Source organism: Homo sapiens, chromosome 15 (assembly GCF_000001405.40).
Source record: "Homo sapiens chromosome 15, GRCh38.p14 Primary Assembly".
Taxonomy (NCBI): Eukaryota; Metazoa; Chordata; class Mammalia; order Primates; family Hominidae; genus Homo; species Homo sapiens.
Window position 1 is genome coordinate 83,689,161 of NC_000015.10, and position 24,446 is coordinate 83,713,606.

Below are 24,446 nucleotides of genomic sequence, written 5' to 3' on the forward strand. Positions count from 1 at the left end.
TTCATATAACGTGATATTTAAAGGAAGATGGCCATATAAATTTGTGTAGTGCCCAACTGCACAATAATACGTAAGATGGCTCAGTAATAATGACATAGTGAACATGTAGGTACCTACCGTGGAGCTTAGGAAATGGAACAGTATCAATACCTGTGAAGCTTCTTGTATGACTTTTCCTTACTCTCTCCTACTCTCTGCTCAGATGTATGCACAGCAAAGGTGAATTTAGTTTTTATACTTCCTTATCTTTATAGTTTACCATTTGAGTATGTATCCCTAAATAATATATCATTTTTTGCTGTCACTGTTTTGGATTTTATACAAATGGAATCATACCTTGCCTTATTCTGCTCAGTATTGTAGTTTTAAATTTCATCTCTGTTGACCTGTGAAGCTGAGCTCACTCATTTTTACTGCTTTATTGTATTCCAGTGTATAAATACACCACGATTTATTGATTCATTCTACTGTTGATGGTTTATTTTTGTAAAATGTTAGATTTATTTTGTCTTTTATTTAGAAATCTGCCTTCATTTTAGAGTGAGACTGATATGTGATTTTTTTCTTTTATTATTCTTATTTGGTTTTGTTTTCAAGAGCATAATAAACTCATAAGATGAATTATTGGGTGTTCCTTTCTTTTACTATTCTTTGAAAGAGTTTTCTTTTTTTTAAAGATGAGAATTATTTATACTTTGAATGTTGTGTAGAGCACACATGTTTTGTAGGGCACACCTGTAAAACCTTGTGGTTGTATTGTTTTCTTTATGGAAAGAATGTAAAAAACGGATTCCATTTCTTTATTGGTTAAAGGACTATTGAGATTTTCCTCTTCTATTTGGAGTCAGTTTTGGTTAATTACATAGTTTGTCTGAAACTTTGCCACTTGTCCCAATATTTCAAATATATTAGGATAATTTTTTCTTGAGTTCTGAGATATGTTATTTTGTTCTGGTTCATTTTCCTCTCAATCCTCATTGCCCCATCATTTGTCTCCTGGAATGTTACAGCGGCCTCACTAGTTTCCCTGCCTTCTGTATCACTTACCCTCCCATCCATTCTTCATAATAATAATTTCACTTCTCTACTTAATATCTCTCCAGTGCTTCCTCAGGATGAACACGGACTTCATGGTCTGCCTTCCAGAGCCCCTTCAGGATCCAGCCCATGCCTACCTCTCCAACTTCTCTTCTCCCAACTTCCCCCACATTCTGAAATCCAGCTCTGCAGAGCTACACACCGTTCATGCAACTTGGACTGTTGCCCCCCGTCTCCTGTCCTTGCCTGTGTTGTTCATTATGCCCCTGTTGTTCTAGAAGATCTGTTCCTCTGTCCTCTCCATTTTTCTGGCTAATTCCTACTTGTTCTTTACATCTCAGCTTTGTGGTCATTGCCTCTGTAATGCCATGTGTGACACTTACGCTCCTGTGCCCCCCTAGCACTCTGTTCTTCCCTGTCTTGGATAGTCCTTGTCACATAGCTTCAGAATTGCCTATTTGCTTGTCTGTTTCTCATTCCACACCCAATCCCAGACAGTGAGTTCCATGGGAGCATGGAGTGTCTTGTTCCGTCTCTCATGGCTAGCACCAGACAAGACGCATGCTTGTACAGTAGTACTAAGGCTTACATTAAAACCTTGCCTTTAGAACTTTGTGATTACAACAATCGTAATATCATACATTTGTACAGCTTCTTACAGTTTAAAGAACACTATCACATACATTATTTTAGGAAACTGAAGCCTTGGGAGCACAAATATGCCTTGTCAAAATATGCAAGCTGCCTCCTCTCACCAGTAGCAGTGGGGTGAAGAAATAAGCTAGGGTTCAATGTTGATTCTTTTATCGTGAGGTTATTCTACATTTTCCTTTTATCACTGAGCTGAGTGTGGCTCTATCTGAGGGCTCTTTGAGTCGGTGAAGGGGCACTGTGCAGTTTTTCTCTCCTGCGCCTCCTTTTGATTTAAGAAAATGCAATGATTCTCATGACAAAGGATACCAGAGTTTTATTTTTTGACTGCTGGGTATTTTTCTCCTCAGGGAACTTTTTTTCTAAATTCACATCAATGGTATTACTTTGGTAATTAAGAAATATACAGTAGAGAGACAAAATTACTGCACCTTCATCCTCCTGCCTGGCTTTCCTTCCGCTGTGGAGAATTTTGGAGTTCATCTAACACATGTTGCCCACCTTTAGCAGTGTGGAGAGTAAGACCTGGAGACCTGAAAGGTCGTGTCAGGAGCCATATGGTCACTTTCTTGCAGAGGTGGGTTGGGCGCTTGGGCTCCCAACTGCAAGCCTGGCTCCCTTTTGAAATTTGAGCAGCCATCACCAATATATTATAACAGATGTCCAGTGTCTCCAAGTTTGTCTAGTTTGTGTGATTTTCCAAATATCTACTACTAATGAGTCCAATGTTTATTCAAACCCAAAACCAAGTTACATTTTCTTTTCTTCGTTTATTTATTTATTTTGAGATGGAGTTTCATTATTGCCTAGGCTGGAGTGCAATGGTGCGATCTTGGCTCATTGCAACCTCCACCTCCCAGGTTCAAGTGATTCTCCTGCCTCAGCCTCCCGAGTAGCTGGGATTACAGGCGCCTGCCACCATGCCCAGCTAATTTTTGTATTTTTAGTAGAGACGGGTTTCACCACGTTGGTCATGCTGGTCTCGAACTCCTGACCTCAAGTGATCTGCCCGCTTTGGCCTCCCAAAGTGCTGGGATTACAGGTGTGAACCACGGCGCCCAGCGTCCAAGTGACATTTTAATGTCAAATAAATATAGAATGGTATGATGATGTTTTAAGCAACCAAAAGAAAAGTATTCATAATTCCATATATTAAGAAATTTAAAGTATACCTTAAAATATGCCAACTTAAAGTCAGAAACCTGTATTGCACCCAACACACTGCTTGGATCATAGACTGTAGTTTGCCTTCTTCTTTTTTTTTTCTTTTAACAAAAGATAGTATGTTTGTAACAGTTTTTTTTTTCCTGCTGATTTATGACTCCAATATGGCTTTGTTACCATTGTATTGCAGGGGTTGATGTTAGCATCTTAATATTATAAAAACATCACCTTTTGTTTTTAAGAAGTCTTTAATATGTTCTGCTAACCCCCAAGGATTTTTTTTTTGTGGTTTATAGAAATGAGAGTGATGCCATTTTATATACATTGAACAAAGACACCCTGACTCTAAATCTCTGTCTTCCTATCGTCTTGCTTGTTTAAGAGTTTTGAGGCTGGGCACGGTGGCTCACACCTATAATCCCAGCACTTTGGGAGGCCGAGGTGGGCGGATCACGAGGTCAGGAGATCGAGACCATCCTGGCTAACACCGTGAAACCCTGTCTCTACTGAAAAATACAAAAAATTAGCTGGGTGTGGCGGCGGGCACCTGTAGCCCCAGCTACTGGGGAGGCTGAGGCAGGAGAATGTCATGAACCTGAGAGGCAGAGTTTGCAGTGAGCTGAGATCGCGCCACTGCACTCCAGCCTGGGCGACAGAGCGAGACTCCATCTCAAAAAAAAAAAAAAAAAAAAAAGAATTTTGAAAGCCATGAGCATCCAAACAGCAAATCTGGCAGCTCCACTGATGTGTTCACACTGAACACTTCCTGCCCTGAAAAGCTTAGAAAAACAAACCAGCTTAAGATGAATATAAACGTTTTTCGGAGTATGTGCAAAAAGCACATTTCTGTCTTTTTCTTCTCTTGGAAGGCTGCATTTTGAAAGCCTGCATGATTTCAGCCACACAGACGAGCTGTTTCCTGAAAGAAATAAAGCTGTAGGGGTGAGAAAGACCTTGAATAAACATGAATGTGTCCCCGACGTGTTTCTGGACTTTGTCAGGTTGGGAGGTGTCTCATTGCCAAATTGGGAAGAGCTGGTAATGCTTTTTTTTTCTTTCTTTCTTCTTTTTTATTTTTTTTGCTACTGAATTAACACAAATGCATGCGTGAGAATATACACAGATTTGTCTGATACTCAGTAATGGTCTCTGAGGTTGGCAACAAGAACGTCATGTCTGCATAATTAATCAGTTGTTGACATGGATGTTTTCTGCATATGTCGGTTGCACTGGTGTTATAAGGTGTGAGCATTGTTGGGCTATGTCTCACTGGGCAGAAGCATGGCCAGGAGAACAGCCAGGGACAGCAGGATGGCAGAGGCCCCCACTGGTCCAGGAGGCAGGAGGTGCTTGGGGAGCAGCCATGCTCGGGCCTGGCCAGGCTGGAGCTGGAGGGCTGTGGAGGCAGAGTACTTGGACCAAGGAGGAAAGGGTCACTCTACTGCCTTGGGTAGAGGCAGATGGACTCCAGCGTCCTGCAGGTCCCAGCCAGGTTCCTAGAGAGTATAGACCCTTTGAAATCTCCAAGGAAGATGGCAAGATCCAACTTGTCAGTTTAGATAATCAGAAAAAAAAAGTGATTCTTTAAGGAACCTAGACCTACTCTGGTCTGCCCTGAACACTCTATTTAAAGCTGCAATTTATACCCCATCTCCCAGCACTTTGGATTTCCTTTTCCCATATGACATAGTATACAATTTACTTCTCTATTATGTTTATTTCTGCTTCCCCAAGTTAGAATATGAGCTCCTTGGGAAAAGTGATTCTTGTCTGTTTTGTTGACTGTTGAACTCTCAGTAGCAAAAATAGTACTTGGCACATAGTAGGTGCTTAATAAACATATGCTGAGTGATTGAATGGGTCCTGTGAACCCCAAGAATTAACCTAACACTCCATTCTTTTGAGATTCTCCCCCCGCAACCATTTGGGTAAAATAAAATATTTATTTGTACTTAATTTAAAAGACAAAGATGCCTTTTCTCTGCCAGAGAGATAATGATGAGTGTTAGTGGTGAAGAGGCTGTGGGAAAATACATGCTTCACTGGAGGATCAAAGTGCAGATTCCACTGCCTAGATGGGGCCCTGAGAGCATGTTCTTCTTCAACACGGAATTCCTGTCAGGGCGTGGAAGCGATTTTTGGGAAAGACCAAGATCCACCAGAAAACACCTCCCTTCTGCACCGCACTTTTTCTGGTAGCTCTCACAAACAGCACTTACTCTCACCAACAGTGACTCATGCCCCTCGGATAACAAATAACCAGCATTCTCTCTCTCCTGGGTGCTTTGGTGGGAACGGAACGGTGTCACCCCTCACCGAGTGGCTAGACCAGGAGGAGGGGGAGGCTGGCGGAGAGTGAGGTAGGGAGTTTACAATTTATCAAGATTTGAGACAAACACCTCGTTTTTTTCTCTAGCAATGGAGCCCTGTTCATAGAATACTATTTTCAGTTTTTTTCCTGGGGAACTTTAAAGTAGACTTATTTCCATGTGACATTTTGCTAATTGAGGCTGTTTCCAATAGGTCAGCTTACTTCAAGGTCTTGAAAAATGGACTCTTAAGTAAAATTTTTGGGGGGCGGGCTCTAGGGAAAGAGGATCTGCATTGTGTATATTGGCAGGGCAAGGCTTTCTTTCCGCTCCCCATTCGGAGGAATAGTTGAGTTTTTAAATAACCCCTTGTGAAATGCCAGCATGCTACTCAGCCAGAGCCTTTGGGCCTTCTGTGGTGCAGAGAATATTCAGACAGCAGGCATGCAGGCTCTGCGGGGAGAGGGTCAACCTGGGCTGGCTTTCCTACAAAAGATGTTAGTTACTGAAGGTCTTCCATGTATAAAGCCCAGTGCTGAGCACTAAAGAACGTTCAGATATGTAGAGAAGTCATACAACTCCATGTTTAGGTTTTCTCCTTTTGGGGAACTGAAAGGTGAAATGTGTTCTAGCAAGATCTTTTCACTGATTAATCTGGGCCCTGCTTGCCAATGCTAACTAGGGATGTGGGAGTCAGTGTGTGTGCTATGTGGTGTATATGTATTTGGAGTATTTGTGGCGTGTGCATGTATGTAGTGTGTGGGGTGTGTGTGTGGTATGTGTGCATGTGTGGTGTGTGTGTGTGGGGGTATATTTGTGGTGTAGGTATGTGTGTGTGTATGTATGTAGCATGTGATGTGCATGATATGTGCATGATACGTTTGTGGTGTGTGTGTGTGTGTGTAATGTGTGTGTGTGTGTGTGTGTGTGTGTGTGTGTGGTGGTGGGGTCTTTGAGAAGGGGAGGGAAGGAGAGAGAGGGAGAGAGAAAATTCCAGAGAAAATGCATGTTTTGTGGCAGAAGGAGGAGTGGTGCTATGAAAATTCCAGTTTGCTAAAGAGATTCTTCCTGTGATAGATTTAAACTCCGGGAAGGAGCCTGTCCATGTAAACAGCTCATTCTGAGTAAGGGAAGCACTCGCAAGGCCCTGCCCACCTCACTGACCTAGGAGGGGAGGAGAAGGGCCCGGGGCTCATATTTCTTTTGAAAATGTGACCCAGAGTGAAGCTGAAGTTCAAAACTACATGGTATTTTGGCTGAGGTGTATCCAGACTTTATTCAAATGTTAGGTCTTTTAAATGAACAATATTAGAAGAACATATAATTAATTGATGGTAAATAGAGAAAAAGAATCTTAAATCCCTGGAAATAATTTTTTTTATCTTGGAAAAAAATGTGAAAAGTCCTTTTCTTTTAAACCCTCCCTTCCAATCCTGCCAAAGTAAATGTATTTTATATTTCATCAGGAAGGTTTTGGACACTTAAGACTGAAAAGTCTCATAATGACCGCATTCTACTTGAAAAACCAAAATGATCTGGAAGGTTTATTTTTTAACTTTTGTTTCAGGTTCAAGGAACCAAATGTACATCATGGTTTTTTTTTGAAGAAAAATGTGTTGGGTGCACTGAGTTTAAGTACTGCTGGTTAACTTGACTTTCCCTCATGGGCCTTGGAAGCTACAAACTGTAAAGTCCCATGTGCCATCCAGGCCAGGGGGAATAGCCCCTGAGGCCCCAGAGGAATACAGAGAATGTATCCCTTGCAGACTGTGGCTGGCGTTGAGCCTGGGGATTCTGCCTGATTTGCCTGGAAGATACGCTTCCTGACTCATGGAATATTGACATTTAAAGGGACCTTTCACTTGTAGGAGTGATCCTAACTTCCCATTCAAATACTAAAGTCTTCCTGGCCGATCTTGGTTTGTCACCCAGGCTGGAGTGTGGTGACATGATCACCGCTCACTGCAGTGCGGCCTTGACCTCCTGGACTCAAGTGATCCTCCTGCCTCGGCTTCCCTAAGTGCTGGGATTACAGGCATGAGTCACCACGCCCTGCTTTGGTTGCTGTTAATAGAGATAGGCCTACCTATGCATTAATATTCCTGACAGTGACCTTACATGGTGTCTGGCTAAGCGCTGGTGTCATGGGAAGAGTCCAGCAATAATGGCTCAGGGCTTTGCCTTCTTGGCATTTAGCCTTTGCCCAACCTGTTAAAATCTGTTGGAATCTCAGTTCTTCCATCTAGCATCTTACCTTCTTGTGTCGTCTGTCAGTGTAGATTTGAAGCGTCTGAGAGTGTATTCCTTGAATCCTTAGTGGCCAAGATGACGACATGTCAAATGAGGAACTATAATTGGGCAAATTTGCCATCAGCCTGGATAGGTAGAGGGCTCAGGCCTCAGCCCTATTCCTGTTCAGTGTTTGTAGCAGTGACAAGGAGGCAGATTGTGAGCATGCCCCACAAATTTGGGCTGACGTGAAGCAGGGGGAGAGTGCTGCATATCCTGATAAATGGAGTCCAGATCTAAAACAGTCTTGAGATGCCAAATCTAAAGAGAAAGTGAATGGCAGGAAAGCGTGCAGTTGGGTTCTCAATCCAGAGTGCAGTGACATGGCTTAGCAATGGCATGTGGGAGAAAGGCTAGGTCCCTTCACTGACCGAGGTTCTGTAGACGTTAGCGGTGTGATATTTGGCTGTGTTTGTGCTCTGGAGAGAGATGGGTGTGAGAGCTCACACCAGGTTAGGAGAAGTGTTCAGACTGGCTTGTTTAATTGCAATGGGAATCACATTGTGTTTGTTTTAACTGGTGACTGCTTAACTTTTGAGGCACACTGGATTCTGCTCTTGAATCTAGGAATACCCTCTTCTCCCCTGCTTCTCTCTCTTCCCATTACATCAATCTGAGAAATAGGAAAAAACAAAACACTAAAGTGCTTTTTCATACTGTCCATTTTCCACTCAACACAGCACTTGTGTGGAGGTATTTCTGCACACAGCAAGCTATTCACTGGACACCACTGGGTATCCTCTATTTCAATTCAATTCTGAGACTATCTACCTAGAGATAGTATCAGACCCCACAGGTTAAGGGCTCCATCCCACAAGACTGCCCTTCACACGCCAATCTCAAGCAGTAGGTTGAGTATAGGTTATCACTTATACTTCTGACAAACAGGCTATAAATTGAGCCTCTCCTTGGCTTTGACTAATTTGCCAGAGCAGCTTGGAGAGCTAAATGAAACACTTTACTTACATCTTCTAGCTTATAAAGGGATAGAATAAAGGATAAAGATGAATGCCCAGATGAAGAGATACGTAGGGTGAGGTCTGGAAGGAGGTCCCAAGTGCAGGAGTTGGGGTGTGCCACCTCCAGGCACACAGATATGTTCACCAACTCAGAAACTCCCTGAACCCAATCCTTCTGAGTTTTCATGGAGGCTTCATTACCCAGGCATGGTTGATGACCTCATTGGCCATTAGTATCAGCTCAACTTTCAGCACCTCTCCCTTCACCAGAGGTTGGGGGTGAGGACTGAAAGTTCCAACCCTCTAATCACTTGATTGGTTCCCCTGGCAACCAGCCCCCATCCTGAGGCTATCCAGGGGTCCACCAAGAGTAACCTCATTAGAACAAAAGATGCTTCTAGCACCCAGGAAATTCCAAGGAATTTAGGGGCTGAGTCAGATGCCCCTGTCACTCAGGAAATCACAAAGCCTTAGGAGCTCTGTGTCAGGAACTGCAGTCAAAGACCAAATAGTAGAACAAAAGATTCTCCTATGGCCCCTATTGCTCACAAAATTACAAGGATTTTAGGAGCTCTATGTCAAGAACCTTAGTCAGAGGCCACATATATATTTCTATTATATCATAATATCACAATCAAGCAGAACTTTCACCCAGCTTTCATAGTTATTCTTGACCCTTTACAATGTGTAGATCAAGGTCTAGAATGCTCAACTCTTGTCCTTGACTAGCCATCCCATATACACTTCCTCCTGCTCAAGTCAAATCCTTCAGCTGGATGGGGATGTGGAGACACAGCTGTATCCCCACGTCTCATATTCATAGTCCCTGGAGGTGCTGTCTGGATTCCTCCTGACCTTGTCCCTGGTGACTCAGCAGCTGTGGACAGTGGCTGGTGGAGATGATGCATTTTGGCAGCTTCTCTCCTAGGCCTGGCTCAGTGCCCTGGGAAGATCGCACACTTCCTGATCCAGGCTTGTTCCTCCTGCTTTCCCTCCAACTTTTGCTACTTAAGGGCCCTGACCCCTTTGGTCACCCCATCCTGTGAGGGCCACATGCCACTGAGTCTTCCTGACATTTAGGAAGTCAACTTCCATCTGGCTGGAAATGTCCAACGCATGTTTGGTATGATGCTTGCTTTCTGAAGCCGTGTGTGAACTCAGCCATTTCTCCTAAGGGAAGGCCCAATTTTTCTAAGAAAAACTGCACCATAACTACCCTTGTCAAAGTCAACGTTGACTTCCCTGTTGCTAGATCCAAGGGATACTTCTCTGGCCTCATCTTCCTCAGTTTCTTAGCAGCATTCAAGACACTTGACTATTCTGTTTGACGCTAAATCTTCCCATGACCTAATATAGGGTGTTTTCCTTTTTATTCTACTCTAATTGATGTTCATTTTTAGTCTCTTCTGCTTGCTCCTCCTCTTCTACTTAATTTCAAATATTAGAATTGAGGGTGTCAGGCAAAGCCCTCTTGCCTGCCAAACTCTTTCTCTAGGGAGTGGCTTTTCTGGTATAATGGTTGTAAATATATGTAAATATACATACATACATACATACATTATGAAAATGTTAAGTGATGACTTCCAAATCCCTATCTCCAGCGTCAGATTTCCTTTCTGAGCTCTGGACTTGCATATTGAATGGCAAACTCAAGCTCTTCACATGGATGTTTTATGGACACCTCCAACTTAACATGACTCAAACAGAACTGTTGACTCTATCCTCACCAACAAATCAGTTTCTGCCTCAGGGCTATCCATCCATTACAATTCCTTTACAGCCATTGCTCAAGCCAAAAACCCAGAAGTCACCCTTGATTCCTCCCTTTTCCTCCCTCATCGGAAAGCTTTGTTGGTTCTACTTCTAATCCATGCACCTCTCCCCTTCTCTACTGCCATCATCCCAGTCCAAGGAACCATCCCTTTTCACCTGGGTTAGTACCAACAGCCTTCCAACTAGTCTTTGTGATTCCACTTTACCTTCTTCTAGCTCAGTCTCCACAAAGCAGTCAGTGTTGTTTAAATACTCTTCTATTGTTCTCCGTCTCCTTACCATAAGGCTTTAAATGTCTTGGGTGGCTTTTCCCTTCCTTCTTTATCCATTTCGTGCCACTGTTACTTGTCCGCACTGAATTCAGCCACACTCTAGTTCTTCCAATTCACTGACTTCCTTTCCACTTTGGAGCTTTTGTACTTGCTCTTCTTTTGCCGGTAATACTCATCCTTAGCTTTTTCCATAACTGGCTCCTCCTGTTTGAGGTATCATCTGAAATCTTATCTTCCCATGGATGCCTTTTTTGACCATCTTATCTAAAATTGAACAGTCCTCTCCCAACATTATTCTCATATCACCTTGTTTATTTCCTTTAGAACTTAGAATGTTAGTTTTCTTATTTATGTATTTGTTTACTTATTTTACTATGTATCTCCACCTCTAGGATGTAACCTCCATGAAAATAGGAACCTGATCTTTTTTGTTCCTCATTGTATCTATCGCACTGAGAACTGTGCCAGGCATATATTAGGTGCTCAATAAATATGTGTTGAATGCATGGTCAACTGAATATAAGCATCACACTGGAAGGTCCACTATATGCGGGAAGCTGTTTTAAGGTGGCGATCTTTGACTGCTTCCACTCTGGTAAATGGATCTGTCCAGGTATTGGCACATGGCTGCTAACAGGTTCCAGCCCTGGCTGTAAGCCTGCGTCTGTTCCTCAAACTCACTGACCTCCTTTCTATTTTAGGGCTTTTGCACTTGTTCTTTTTTTGTGTGCCAGGAATAGTCACTGTCAGATTTGGTGATTGGTTAGTCTCCTAACTCTCAGAGCTATAGTTTACTCATTTTTAAAATAAGGAGTTTGACCTAGATGACTTCTAAGGTCTCTTTAGGTATTTAAAATGATGATTCTGGCTGGGCGCGGTGGCTCATGCCTGTAATCCCAGCACTTTGGGAGGCCAAGGCGGGCAGGTCGCCTGAGATTAGGTGTTCGAGACCAGCCTGGCCAACATGGTGAAACCCCGTCTCTACTAAAAATACAAAAATTATCCAGGCATGGTGGTGGGCACTTGTAATCCCAGCTACTAGGAAGGCTGAGGCAGGAGAATTGCTTGAACCTGTGAGGCGGAGAGTGCAGTGAGCTGAAATCACGTCACTCAATTCCAGCCTGGGTGACAGAGCAAGACTCCGTCTAAAAAAAATTAAAGTAAAAAAAATAAAGTGATGATTGAAGCCAGTAAGAGCAATTAGCAATAGTGGTGCTAAATCTCTCACATAAATGAAATTTAATAAGAAAGTCTTCAAATTATTTTAACAGTCTAGTGCTATCTAAGCCATCTAGTCTAGTGGAGTTATCTCTTCTATATTCCTTGACAGAATGATGTTGATTTCCCTTTCTAAAACACAGTATTCAGAGGGACGTTTTAGCGTAAACTATAGTTCCTGCTGCAGTTTGAGAATGAGTCCATTGGAGCAGCAGAGGTGTCAGAGGAATATGTTTACTCCCTGCTTCTCCTGTTTGCAGAGAGCAATTTTCTTAGAGTAACACCTGTGGCCTCTTAATTTATTTCTGACTCATTTCTTCCCAAGCAGGGGGAGTGAGGTATCCAGTCGGGGGTATAGTCACAGATCCATGTATTTTTGACTGGATGGGGCTAAGCTCTGCAGATTCTATCTCCTTTATTACTTTCCTCCTTGAAGCAATCAAGGCAGTGATCCTGGTAAACCCTCTACCTCCTCAGTCTTCCCTTGGACAGGCTCTCCCAGGAGGTGGGTGATAGTGTGATGGTAGCAAGTCCATTGGGTCATCATATCCCAGCCATATTCCCCTAAAGAGGGTGTCCTTTCTGACCCCCTCAGACTCCAACCATTGTGATTTATGTCCAGTGATTCAGATGCCAGGTAATATGGTTTGATTCTGTGTCCCCACCCAAATCTCATCTTCAATTGTGCTCTCATAATTCCCACATGCTGTGGGAGAGACCCGGTGGGAGATAATTTGAATCATGGGGGAGGTATCCCCCATACTGTTCTCATGGCAGTGAATAAGTCTCACAAGATCTGATGGCTTTATCAATGGTTTCCACTTTGCATCCCTTCATTTTCTCTTGCCACCATCATGTAAGAAGTGCCTTTTGCCTCCTGCCATGATTCTGAGGCCTCCCCAGCCATGTCGAACTGTAAGTCCAATTAAACCTCTTTTTCTTCCCAGTCTCGAGTATGTCATTACCAGCAGCATGAAATTGGACTAATTCAGTAAATTGGCACCAGTGGAATCGGGTGCTGCTGAAAAGATACCTGAAAATGTAGAAGCAACTTTGGAACTGGGTAACAAGCAGAGGTTGGAACAGTTTGGAGGGCTCAGAAGAAGACAGGAAAATGTGGGAAAGTTTGGAACTCCGGAGAGACTTGTTGATTGCCTTTACCAAAATGCTGATAATGATATGAATGAAAAGGTCCAGGCTGAGGTGGTCTCAGATAGAGATGAGGAACTTCTTGGGAACTGGAGCAAAGGTGACTCTTGTTATGTTTTGGCAAAGAGACTGGTGGCATTTTGCCCCTGCCCTAGAGATTTGTGGAACTTTGAACTTGAGAGAGAAGATTTAGGGTACCCGGTGGAAGAAATTTCTAAGCAGCAAAGCATTCAAGAGATGACTTGGATACTGTTAAAGGCATTCAGTTTAAAAAGGGAAACAGAACATAAAAGTTCAGAAAATTTGCAGCCTGACTATGCAATAGAAAAGAAAAACCCATTTTCTGGGGAAAAATTCAAGCTGGCTGCAGAAATTTCCATAAGTAGTAAGGAGCCTAATGCTAATTCCCAGAACTATGGGGAAAATGTCTCCAGGGCATGTCAGAGACCTTCATGGCAGCCCCTCCCATTACAGGCCTGGAGGCCCAAGAGGAAAAAGTGGTTTTGCGGGCTGGGCCCTGGGTCCCTTGGCTGTGTGCATCCTAGGGACCTGGTGCCCTGTGTCCCAGCTGCTCCAGCTATGGCTGAAAGGGGCCAATGTAGAGCTCGGGCTGTGGCTTCAGAGGGTGGAAGCCCCAAGTCTTGGCATCTTCCTTGTGATGTTGAGCCTGCAACAGAAGTCAAGAATTGAGGTTTGGGAACCTCTGCCCAGATTTCAGAGGTTGTATGGAAACACCTGGATGCCCAGGCAAAAGTTTGCTGCAGGGGCGGGGCCCTCATGAAGAACCTGTGCAATAGCAGTACGGAAGGGAAATGTGGGGTCGGAGCCCCCATACAGAGTTCCTACTGGGGCACTGCCTAGTGGAGCTGTGAGAAGAGGGCTACTGTCCTCCAGACCCCAGAATGGTAGATCCACTGACAGCTTGGACCATGTTCCTCGAAGAGCCACAGACATTCAACGCCTGCCTGTGAAAACAGCTGGGAGAGAGGCCATACCCTGAAAAGCCACAAGGGTGGAGTTGCCCAAGACCATGAGAACCCACCTCTTGCCTCAGCGTGACCTGGACATGAGACCTGGAGTGAAAGGAGATCATTTTGGAGCTTTAAAATTTGACCGCCCCACTAGATTTTGGACTTGCATGTGCCCTGTAACTCCTTTGTTTTGGCCAATTTCTCCCATTTGGAATGGCTGTGTTTATCCAATACCTATACCCTCATTGTATCTAGGAAGTAACTAGCTTGCTTTTGAATTTACAGGCTTATAGGCAGAAGTGACTTGCCTTGTCTCAAATGAGACTTTGGACTGTGGACTTTTTGGTTAATGCTGAAATTAGTTAAGACTTTGGGGGACTGTTGGGAAGGCATGATTGGTTTTGAAATGTGAGGACATGAGATTTGGAGGGGCCAGGGGTGGAGTGATATGGTTTGGCTCTGTGTCCCCACTCAAATCTCATCTTGAATTGTACTCCTATAATTCCCATGTGTTGTGGGAGGGACCCGGTGGGAGATAATTTGAATCATAGGGACAGTTTCCCCCATACTGTTCTCGTGATAGTGAATAAGTCTCACGAGATCTGATGGTTTTATCAGGGGTTTCCGCTTTTGCATCCCTCTCACTTTCTCTTGTGGCCGTCATGTCGGAAGTGCCTTTCACCTCCTGCCATGATACTGAGGCCTCCCCAGCCACGTGGAACTCTAAGTCCAATTAAACCTCTTTTTCTTCCCAGTCTCGGGTATGTAGTTATCAGCAGCATGAAAACGGACTGGGGTATGAGCTTTCCATGAACTAAACACAGTCTACAATATGCATGTTTATTTAAGCTTGGATTTTTAAACAAAGCATTATGAAGAAAAAGTCTCAAAGGAAATACACCAAAACAATTAACAGTGGTTATTACAGGTTGAAAAGATTATGGGTGATTTTATTTTCTTCTGTGCTCATTTATATGTTCTAAAGTTTCTACAATGAAGTGCATTTTTGTTGTAGTATGGGAGAAAATTTTTGTTTCTCACTCCTTTGCCAAAAAAAAAAAAAAACACAAAAGGAAGAAGAAAAGAAAATCCTAAAAACAATAGATTTGCAACAACAAGACAAAGTTAACTACTCTGTGACTGAATTGCTGGAAGATGGGGAGCAGAGGTAGCGGGGAGGGGGAGAGAGGCAGGTGTCAGAGAATAAATGCCATGGCTGCCAGTTTGATTCGGGCCACTGTGATATCCTGGCCTAACAGTGCCCTGACACACCTGGTGTGCCTCACCCTGGTCTTTGCCAAGAGAGGTCACTTCCCTTTTTGTTTCTTGGTACAGCTATTAATGGTGGATTCTCCTGGAATGGCCTTCTTGGACTTTACCTGTCAGGGGGTCCTTACTGGAGCCTTATTTGTGACCAAATGATCTTGTTTTTCAGACCACAGCTGAGAAATCTCCTGGAGCCTATTTCCTTCCCGAGTTTGCACTTTCTCCTCAGGGAAGTTTTCTGGAAGACACAACAGGGGAGCAGTTCCTCACTTATCGCTATGATGACCAGGTAAGAACATTGGACAAGGATCTACCTTTGGCTTTGCTGTTTGCCAGTGGTCAGGAAACTGTCTCTAAAAGACCTTCAAAGTAATTATATTTTCCTCTTTGCAATACAAGTACAACAGACCCTTGACACCCTTGAAGGATCCCAGAATATGTGGATTGCCCATGTTTGCATGTAATTTCCTATATAATGTGCAGTTCTTTCTCTGCATTTGCATAAAAGTCACTTTTTCTTATTTTCATCAGAAATATATGATGGATTTGTTCATCTCAGCTATCACCACATTGATGATTCAATTCTGAAATTATCCAAAATTCTGTTTTCTGCTTATGTGTTACTTCTTTGCCCTCAGCTTTTACTTCATTTCTTTTACCAGCACCAATGTTGCATGCTTTTTTCCCCAAGATTACTTTTCAGAAAGGAACACAGTGTGAATGCCTGTGTGTGCATATGTCTGTGAGTGTGTGTGTGTGTGTGTGTGTGTGTGTGTGTGTTGAAATCATTTTAGGAAGGCTAACTAGAGAAGAAGGCCTTGCTTGGCTGACATGTGTAAGCTGAGCACTGGAAGTTGTGATTCCCTTCCATCCTCAATTCACCTTGATGCCATAATAGCATTTAAGATTATCCATCTTTGAAATCACTCACAACTTGGTGAAACAGAGAGTTTCAACTTTGCCTAATGCAAAGCTGGTAAAGCCTGAATTTATGGGGCAGTTGAGCAAACCAGGGTGGACTTTAAGATGATGTAGGGCCTGGGTGGATCTGGCAGACCTCAGCACCTGTAGGGCCCAAGTGAAGGTGAGGAGCTGGGGCAAGATCACCTTCCCATGGTACGTGATAGAGTGGAGGGAGATGGCCCAGTGACTGAGGCCAGCTGTGCTCTCCTCAGCTGTATAGCCAAAGGCCAGTGCATCCTGGTTTGATTTAGGTAAAGCCTAGTCAGAGTGCAAAAGACAGTACTCAAAAGGAACAGCTCTGAGAAATTCAGTCTGCCAACATGGGTAGATCCAAGATGTGACCACAGGGAGTAGGACCCTGTTCTGAGGGCTGGCTGGAGCTAGGCAGAGTGCTGGAGGTGGGCTGGGAGAAGGATGAAAGTCTTGCAGAGCATCAGTGGCTGATGCAGGACGGAGATTAGAGCATAGAGGGCAGGTAGAGGAGTCTGTTGCTCAGTCCTCTATCTCCCAGCTCAGGGGAAGACACTGCACACTCTCCATCCTTGAGGCTGCTGCTCAGTGACCTACCCTTGGTGGGCTTCATTCCAGAGCTGGGACTGGGGTGAAGGTCAGGGCTGTGACCCTCCAGACCGCTGTGGGCAGGGAGCCACACTGGTCATTGGGGCAAGAGTGGGATGAGACCAATTTCTTACTCAAAATGTCAACATTCAATCATATTTTCAAGTTACTTTAAAAGTGAGTGAGTGCATTACTAGTCATTGTGGGGAGCAGGGGTGGGCTGGGGAATAATTCTATATTTGCATTGTAGAGCCCAAACATTTGGGCCTGGTTGCTAATAGGGGCTAAAACATCATTAAGTCACTTTCTGCCTTCCCCCTTCCCTTGATGGATTTTGAGAGGGTCTATAATTTATAGCTCCTTTTAATCCAGAAATCAATAATCCAACAGGTTTTCATATGAGAACTTCAGAGGAACTAATTGAGAGGGCCGTAAAGGATAAAAGCGGGTGTCTGGAAAATACCAAGCTATGCATTTTATAATTAAAGAGTGGTTAATGTCTTCTCCAGGTTCCACAGATACTTTATATTTAACATAATAACAATATAAAAGCTGGGAAAAGGGGAAAACAAGCCCCTTCAGTCTTTTCAAAAGGTCTAAAGCAGATCTGAAAAGTGTGTGGCATGCTGTGGAAATTTCATCCTAGGACATAGTGTTCCAGAAAGCCTCAGTGACTAGCATATGAAAACACTCTGTGTTGCCCCCACTGTGTATTTCTTTTAGGAGAAAGGAATAATTTGAGACTATAACAAGCCAATAATAGCACCCACTTTCCTCTACTAAAGGCACAGAAAATAGGCGCTTGGACTAAACTAGGTTTATCTATTGAATGAACCTCAGGAATTTAATCAGCTAGAGACTGTTAACCCACCAACCAAATCCTGATTCTCTTTCCTCTTTTTTCTTTTCTTTTTTTTTGAGATTGGGTCTTGTTCTGTCACCCAGGCTGAAGTGCAGTGGCATGATCACAGCTCACTGCAGCCTCAACCTCCCCACCCACACTTAGGTGATCCTCCTGCCTCAGCCCCCGCCCCCCACCCCAGGTAGCTGGGATTATAGGCATTAGGCATGTACCACCACCCCTGGATAATTTTTTTTGTCTGTATTTTGTAGAAATGAGGTTTTGCTATGTTGACCAGGTTGGCCTCAAACTCCTGGGCTCAAGCGATCTGCTCTCCTCGGCCTCCCAAAGCGTTGGGATTACAGGTGTGAGCCACTGCGCCTGGCCAATCCTCTTTTTTCTTAATGCTGAACATGCTTCTCAGGCACTGGGGAAAGGATAAAACCAATCAAATACTATCAAACTTTTAAAAAATCCCCTGATCCTTCAGCATATGACAAAACATTAAGATCAATTAAGAACAAAGTCTCTGGAGTCAGACTGCTTTGGGTTTGAATTTGATTTGTCAGTTCTGCCATTTGATTTGCTGTTTTACTTTGGACAAGTTACTTTACTTCCCTGTCCCTTAATTTTCTCATCTATGAAATGGAGATTTGGATGGTATCTACCTTATGTAGGCGTTAATTCATGTCTCCCTGCATAGGGCCTGGTACATATAAGCATTTAATTTAGCTATTGTTATTACTAAGAATGTTGTTTGCAAACACTCAATTCAAAGAATCTCAGATATGCTTATGCTAAAAGAAAGGAAGAAGTTAATTCTTACTTTAGGAGATCTCATGCAATATTTTCAATTAATTTTTTATTGAGCTATAACATATGTAAGTAAAACGCATACATATCTGAAGTATAGAGCTTGATGAATTTTTAAGTATTTTTACACCTGTGTAGTTGCTACCTAGATCAAGAAAATGAACATTTCTAGCACCCTAGGAGGCTCCTTGAACCTCTTTCCGATCAATATCCCACATTCAAGAAGTAACCACCATTCAGACTTTTATCAGTATTACAGATTCATTTTGCCTGCTTTTAATTTTATTTTTGATTTTATATAAATGGAATCATACACCACATACTCGTTTGTGTCTGGCTTCTTTCACACATCATTATGTCTGAGAGATTCAACCCAGTTGCTGGATCCAACATAATATAGGGTTTAATGTCTAGCAGCCAGTTGTACTCTTTGGAACAAATTGTCTCATGTTGGAACAAATTGCAGCATACTGGGTGGCATGCAGCATTACTCTTGCACAGAAATTCCCAGGTTGTCCCTAAAAGGTTTTCAGAGCAGTCTCTCCAAAGATTTCATACCTGGGGAAATGGTGGGGACAGTTTTCCAGTGTAGCCTTTGTTATATGCCAGCAGCCACCGGCATTCCACAGCCAGAAGTAGGTACAGGGTCTGTGTGAGTGGCTGCCAGGGCAGAACCTGTGTCAGGTGGCATGGGTACCTACCTGTGGAATCTCCATATATATATGCCAGGGGTGCTGTCCTGCTGTCACAGTGGCTTGAAGCCAGAGTGACAAAGTACTTATGCAATTGAGGCTGCAGCCTAGTTTCTAATGCTGTTGGGTCAGATGTGGGTTCACTAGGATCTTCCTACCTATAGAGTACTCATTTGATAAAATGGGATGCAAATGGATGGTGTGTAGATATTTGCTGTCTTGGATGAACCTCACAGGACTTTTTAAAGTGTTTTATCCTGGGCGCATTTCATGAAGACCTTCAGGTCATTCTTCAAATGTCTCCTGGGTTAGATGCCTGGAAAACTAATAACCCTGAGGCCAGTAACACATAGCTGTGATGTAGGCTGCATTTAATGGGAGGCGTAAAAGCCACATTATGGATCATACGGAGGGCCGCGGCAGCTTCTAGTGAAGAAAGTGGTCTGAAGCCAACTGAGTAACAATGTGGTTTAGTGCAAACAGGACTAGTCAGGCAGCCTGGTCTTGCTTCTACCACTAATCAGCTTATAATCTAACAGAACTATTTAACGTTTTGGACTTTGGATTCTTTATTTCTTTTAAAAAACAAAGTGACTGGATTTCATGATCTGAACTCTTTCCACTCTAAAATAGTCTGAAACTACAAATAGAATATTCCACGTTGCAGAGTGTTAATTGGATCATTCTGATTATTGAGGCAGTCTTGCCAGCAATTCGGTAAACTATTACTTAGAGAATTATACAGTTTTACAGCTGGTGGAGACTTTGGCCCAAGTGCCTCATTCTACAAGTCAAGAAAACAGAGACGCCAAATGTGCAAATGACTTACTCAAGGACACCCGTGGTTATTTGAAAAACTAAGACCATTACACTCCAAACCCAAGGCTCTCCTGCTCTGAGATATATCCAGGAGCTTCTCTCAGAAGAACCACCTAGAAAATTATCTCCTATCCTAAAAATCCTGATTCCACTGTTTACAGTTAGTAGAGCTTTGGGGATCTTAATAGACCCCAGAGATTAAGATTAAGATTAATGGATGCCTTATCAGCTCATTCTCATCTCCTTCAGGAATTTGGAATTAGCTATGTGGAGAACATTCATAAGCATATTTATTCCTTTCCAGTTTTTAATAGAAGCCACAATTTTTTTTTGAAGCTTGAGTGAAACATTAACTGAAATTAAAATGGCACTGACTTTCTATTGGATGGGCACATTCTTAGAATAAAGGTGTTCTAGCACTTGGTTGCATCAGGTACATGAAGTAGCTAGAATGTATTAGTTTGGGACGACTGGCTAAGAAGGCTGTGGTTTCAGTTACTAGCCAGCCTGTCTCTGGGGTAGATTCTTTGGTCATTCCTCATAGTGGTTTTGGAGTTTTGTCCCATAGAGGACCTGTTCATAGGCAAACAGCTGGATATTGGTCACTGCACATGGTTCTTTTCATCGCTGAGTAAGTCAGTTTTTGGAGATCTGCTCTGTCTTTCTCTGCCTAGATCACCTTCTGGGAAAGGGGGATGGTGTGGTTGTTTTCCATCCTTACCTTGCTTCAACTCACTGAAGATTTAAACTTGGAGCTTTATTATGGTCACTGAAAGCCTGTGACAAGCACAGTGTTTCTCAGTTAGAGGTCATTTATTTTTTAAGGAGTTAGGAAAAGTTGTTTTTTGCATAAATATTCTTTTATTTCTCTTTATTTTTAGCATTTGTTAGGCATGGGGGAAGGTGGAAGGTGTGTCCTCCCAGACTTGGTGGATTTGCTGTAATGTGCTTCCTCCTCACTGGCAGCCATCGTAGGATAAAGGACATTAAGCACGAGCAGTAGGTGACTTAGAAATTGGGCCTCATGCACACTTTCCTATGTTTTATGAATTCTTTATGTGTGTACCTGTTAATATTAATATAGGGTATTAAAATAATGCTGACCTTGCCACTTTTAGTCTACTAGGCACCAAAAGGCAGGAAAAAAGGTTAATACCTTGGATTCCAAGCATGTAGGACAAGTAGTGGGTTTTGATTTTCCTAAAATTAACCAAGGATAATCCCACTAATGCAAGCTCGAAGCCATTTAGAGAACTACCTTGATCTCATGTTGGAGAGGTCCTTTTATACCTATTCATACCAGGCCATCCCTTCTCCCTGGTAAACTTCCTGCTCCTCTGCCCTTGACTAATTTAGCGTTTGCTGTGTCTCTTCCTGACCACATTTAAGAGGATTTGAGATTTTTTTCCAGACTTAAAAATGCTTTTGCCTGTACTCTCATCTACCATTGCTTTCAGTGACCACTTGGTTTTCAAATTCTTACTGTCTCTTGCTGCTTTCTGCTACTCATTCTGCTACTCATTTTTAACCTTTAAAATCTAACTTCTTCTATGTCCTCCAACCTCCCTCCCCCCACCACCTTCAACAGGCATCCTTTTTAAGAATTTCAGTTACTTTCTTCAAGTCACACCTATATTCTGGTATGAATCAGCCTATATTTGTAAAAGTCTGTGTTGGTACAATTCCATGTTTGTAAAGTCCTAAGGCCTTAATGACATCATAGGTGAAGTCATAGTTGACTCTTCTCTTTCCTTCCTGGGATGTCATTGGCTGCCTATTTGTATGATTCCTTGTTTCAATATGCCTCTCTAAATTGTATTTTCTTTACTGTTTCCATCCCAAAGGAGGCAGAGGGCTGGATGTGCAGCCTTGGTAGCATCTGGAATTGTATTAATAGCATGTCAGAGTTGAAAGAAAGTATAGGATTCTGGCTTTTCAGGTGAGGAATCTGAGCCCCGGAGAGGAACAGTGTCTTGTCCAAGATCACACAGCCAGGCAGTAGCAAAGCCAAGTGCCCGTTCTTTGCCCTTAAGCTCAGTTAAGACATTTTTACATCTAATCTGTGGGCAGGAAAAGTATGAGAGAAATGTTTGAATGAATTTTTAATACTAATAATAACAATAATATATTAATAATGAAGTCTGTGTAGTCTTATTTCTAAACTTCTTTTAAATGCCTTTTTTCTTATACTATTATGATAAACATAATTTTCCTTTTCCTCGTTTAACTATTGATTTATGCATTCTTTCTAAAGAGGAGAAATCTATTTGCTGTGAGTACATCTCTCTCAAAGTAACTTCTTCCGAACTTTTCATGAATATCTTGGCCAGGAGTTTCAATGTGGTTAAACTATTGGCAGCCCTCAGAAATATCACTTGACGTTTCCAAGTTATTTATGTAATCGTTTTTAGTTGGAAAGTATATACCAACTTCTGAAATTTCTGGTGAAAGAAGACGGACATAGCCCATGGGTCTACTGGGTATTTTCATCTTCTTCACTGACCAAAATGAGCAACTTATATGTTCTCCACATAGGAGAGTTTCTGTGTTGTTTCTGGCCTGTGTGTATAATATTTTTAAGCAGCAAGCCATTTGAGTTTGAATAGTTCATTCCTTTGTTAGTAAGTAATCTCGGTCAAATGTAGTTATGCTGCTTAAATATTCCAAGATTTAGCGATCTAACAAGAAAGCAAGCTCATGGTCTGTTAAGAGAAGACAAGAACAAATTAGTTGGAATAACTTGTACTGTGTTCACAGTTCATGCGTGTAGCAAATGCATGAATACTGCACATGCAACTGTACATGCTGTTCTGATTGACTGTGTCACACATGAACTCTGAATTTCATTATCATTGAGCTTTTTCACAAATCATGAAAGCATAAAAGAATTGTGTGGGTAGAGATTTAATATCTAGCTTTTGAAGGATGCAGACATTTTCCTCTTTCAGTGTCATCTTCCTAAACTCATATTTGGGGTACTGGGTGATTTTTATCACTTACACCCTATGGGTTAAGGGGTGGGTATAGGGTGGGGATGTTCAAGACAGACCCAAATGGATCTTTCCTTAAAAGTCCCTCACTACCCTTAAGAACACTGAGAGATAAGTTCTGTTCTGACAGGGCCCTTGCTGCTTACCGTCAGATCATCCTTTCTCTTTGAGATCAGATCAGTCCCTACTCACATATCCTCACAGCCTTCAAGTGCTTTGAGATGAGGTTGTTTTGAGCAACTCAGTTCTGTCACAATCCCTGGATGAAAGAAAGCAAGTAGACTTTCCTCTCCACCATCTCCTCTCTTCAGTGGCCTTTTATGACTTGCTTTTCTGTTCTTCCTCCTGTTTTATCCTTTGTTTATTGATTTCCCCTTCCCAGTGCTTTCCATCGTCCCCTCATGGTCAACAGGACCCCATGTCCTGAATTCCAACTTTCTGCTGCAACTGAAAACTGGCCTTGGCCAGGCTCACTGCCTCTCTTGCAGGCCTCACCAGTGGAGGCTGCTCATACCTCACAACCCAAGTGCTACACGGCTAAGGTGGGGGGTTGACCTTCTTGGAGTCCCTACTGCTACTTCCTGGCTAGTCCTCTTCTCTCATCTCAGTGCTCCTCTTTTTTGGAGGCTCATGTCATCTGTCTAAACCACTGATCAGAGCATTCACCAAAACCTTTATGACCTGATCATGACTTCCTTCCTTCCAAGGTCATGCCATGATCCGGGGAGTGTTCAAGAATTAACACTTGGAGCAATTTCTGTTGAGCCTCCTGTCCCTGGGGTCAGCAGTGATAGCTCAGGGCAGTGACTGATGGCCCTTAAAATTGCCTGTTCCAAGAAACCATTTCAATTGCATTTGTCATTCTGCAAGCTTCAGTCTAACCCTGTCATTTCTGCATCTCTCTGGCTCCAGTGACCTTCACAGACCTTCCACTTCAGTCACCCATTCCAAGTGTCCAAACTGGACCATATCATTCTTCAAACTACTCTGCCTTAGAAGTATTAAATCCTGCAGCCTCTCTCTAATCTCAGACCCTTCTCCTTCACCTCCTCCTATGCATGCTTCTACTACATGCATTCCTTTTAATCTCTAAGAGACAACTAATTCTCTTATCTCTCTACTTCTCCCAGGTGATCAGCCACCTTTCAGCATCTCTAGGTTTCCTACCCACGTGGCCTCTTCTATCAGTGTCATCCCTCACCTTCTATGCATGATTTTCCTGGCCCACTAGCCTAGTGGAACTTTCTATCAGGTTCTCTACAACTTGGTGTCTTTCTCTGTCTTAGATGGCCTTCTGAGCTCTGCTAAAGAAGATCGATCAGCCATGAAATACAGCCTCATGTAGTGGGGGAACCCTCAATGTCACCTTTGATCATCTCTAATTCTTTATTTTGACCGCATTCATCAACCCCCTTCTACTAAACATCTCTGCGACTGAATGTGTGTTTTTCTTAAACGAGTGCCAGATTTCTGTTCTGTTGTGGCCTGTCCTCCTCAGGCATAGTGAAGGGAGTAGATTTTATTAGTGTTTGTGATCTTGAGAAAATGCAGGAAACTGGACTTGCAGGTTTGCTATAAGAATGGGGAGTAATGGCAGGTGGAGGACTGGATGGGAACATCTTTTTTTTTTCTCTTATTACAGCATAAAACAAATGCATGAATAATGCACATGCAACTGTACATGCTGTTCTGATTGACTATGTCACATATG

The 24,446-nt window shown here is 42.8% G+C and overlaps 1 protein-coding gene across 12 annotated transcripts in view, besides 4 other annotated features; it reads left to right on the plus strand.

The window, feature by feature from the left end:
• ADAMTSL3 (ADAMTS like 3) overlaps positions 1-24,446 on the plus strand; it is a 385,720-nt gene that overhangs the window by 35,038 nt on the left and 326,236 nt on the right. For all 12 annotated transcript variants that reach the window (XM_011521823.3, XM_017022434.2, XM_011521822.3 and 9 more), the window contains exon 3: positions 15,229-15,348. In XM_011521823.3, coding sequence (XP_011520125.1) covers positions 15,229-15,348 — 120 coding nt within the window. The remainder of the gene's footprint in view (positions 1-15,228; positions 15,349-24,446) is intronic.
• Positions 3,696-4,196: an enhancer, noted in NCBI's record as "H3K4me1 hESC enhancer chr15:84361608-84362108 (GRCh37/hg19 assembly coordinates)". NCBI's record gives its function as "activates a minimal SCP1, AML or CMV promoter by ChIP-STARR-seq in naive H9 embryonic stem cells {active_cell/tissue: H9 hESC(naive)}" and the evidence as "EXISTENCE:reporter gene assay evidence [ECO:0000049][PMID:30033119]".
• Positions 4,197-4,697: an enhancer, noted in NCBI's record as "H3K4me1 hESC enhancer chr15:84362109-84362609 (GRCh37/hg19 assembly coordinates)". NCBI's record gives its function as "activates a minimal SCP1, AML or CMV promoter by ChIP-STARR-seq in naive H9 embryonic stem cells {active_cell/tissue: H9 hESC(naive)}" and the evidence as "EXISTENCE:reporter gene assay evidence [ECO:0000049][PMID:30033119]".
• Positions 19,045-19,214: an enhancer, noted in NCBI's record as "experimental_41575 CRE fragment used in MPRA reporter constructs". NCBI's record gives its function as "activates a minimal promoter by MPRAs in K562 erythroleukemia cells, with activity observed for both the introgressed and non-introgressed 15:84377042 variant alleles {active_cell/tissue: K562}" and the evidence as "EXISTENCE:reporter gene assay evidence [ECO:0000049][PMID:34662402]".
• Positions 20,902-21,071: an enhancer, noted in NCBI's record as "experimental_41592 CRE fragment used in MPRA reporter constructs". NCBI's record gives its function as "activates a minimal promoter by MPRAs in K562 erythroleukemia cells, with activity observed for both the introgressed and non-introgressed 15:84378899 variant alleles {active_cell/tissue: K562}" and the evidence as "EXISTENCE:reporter gene assay evidence [ECO:0000049][PMID:34662402]".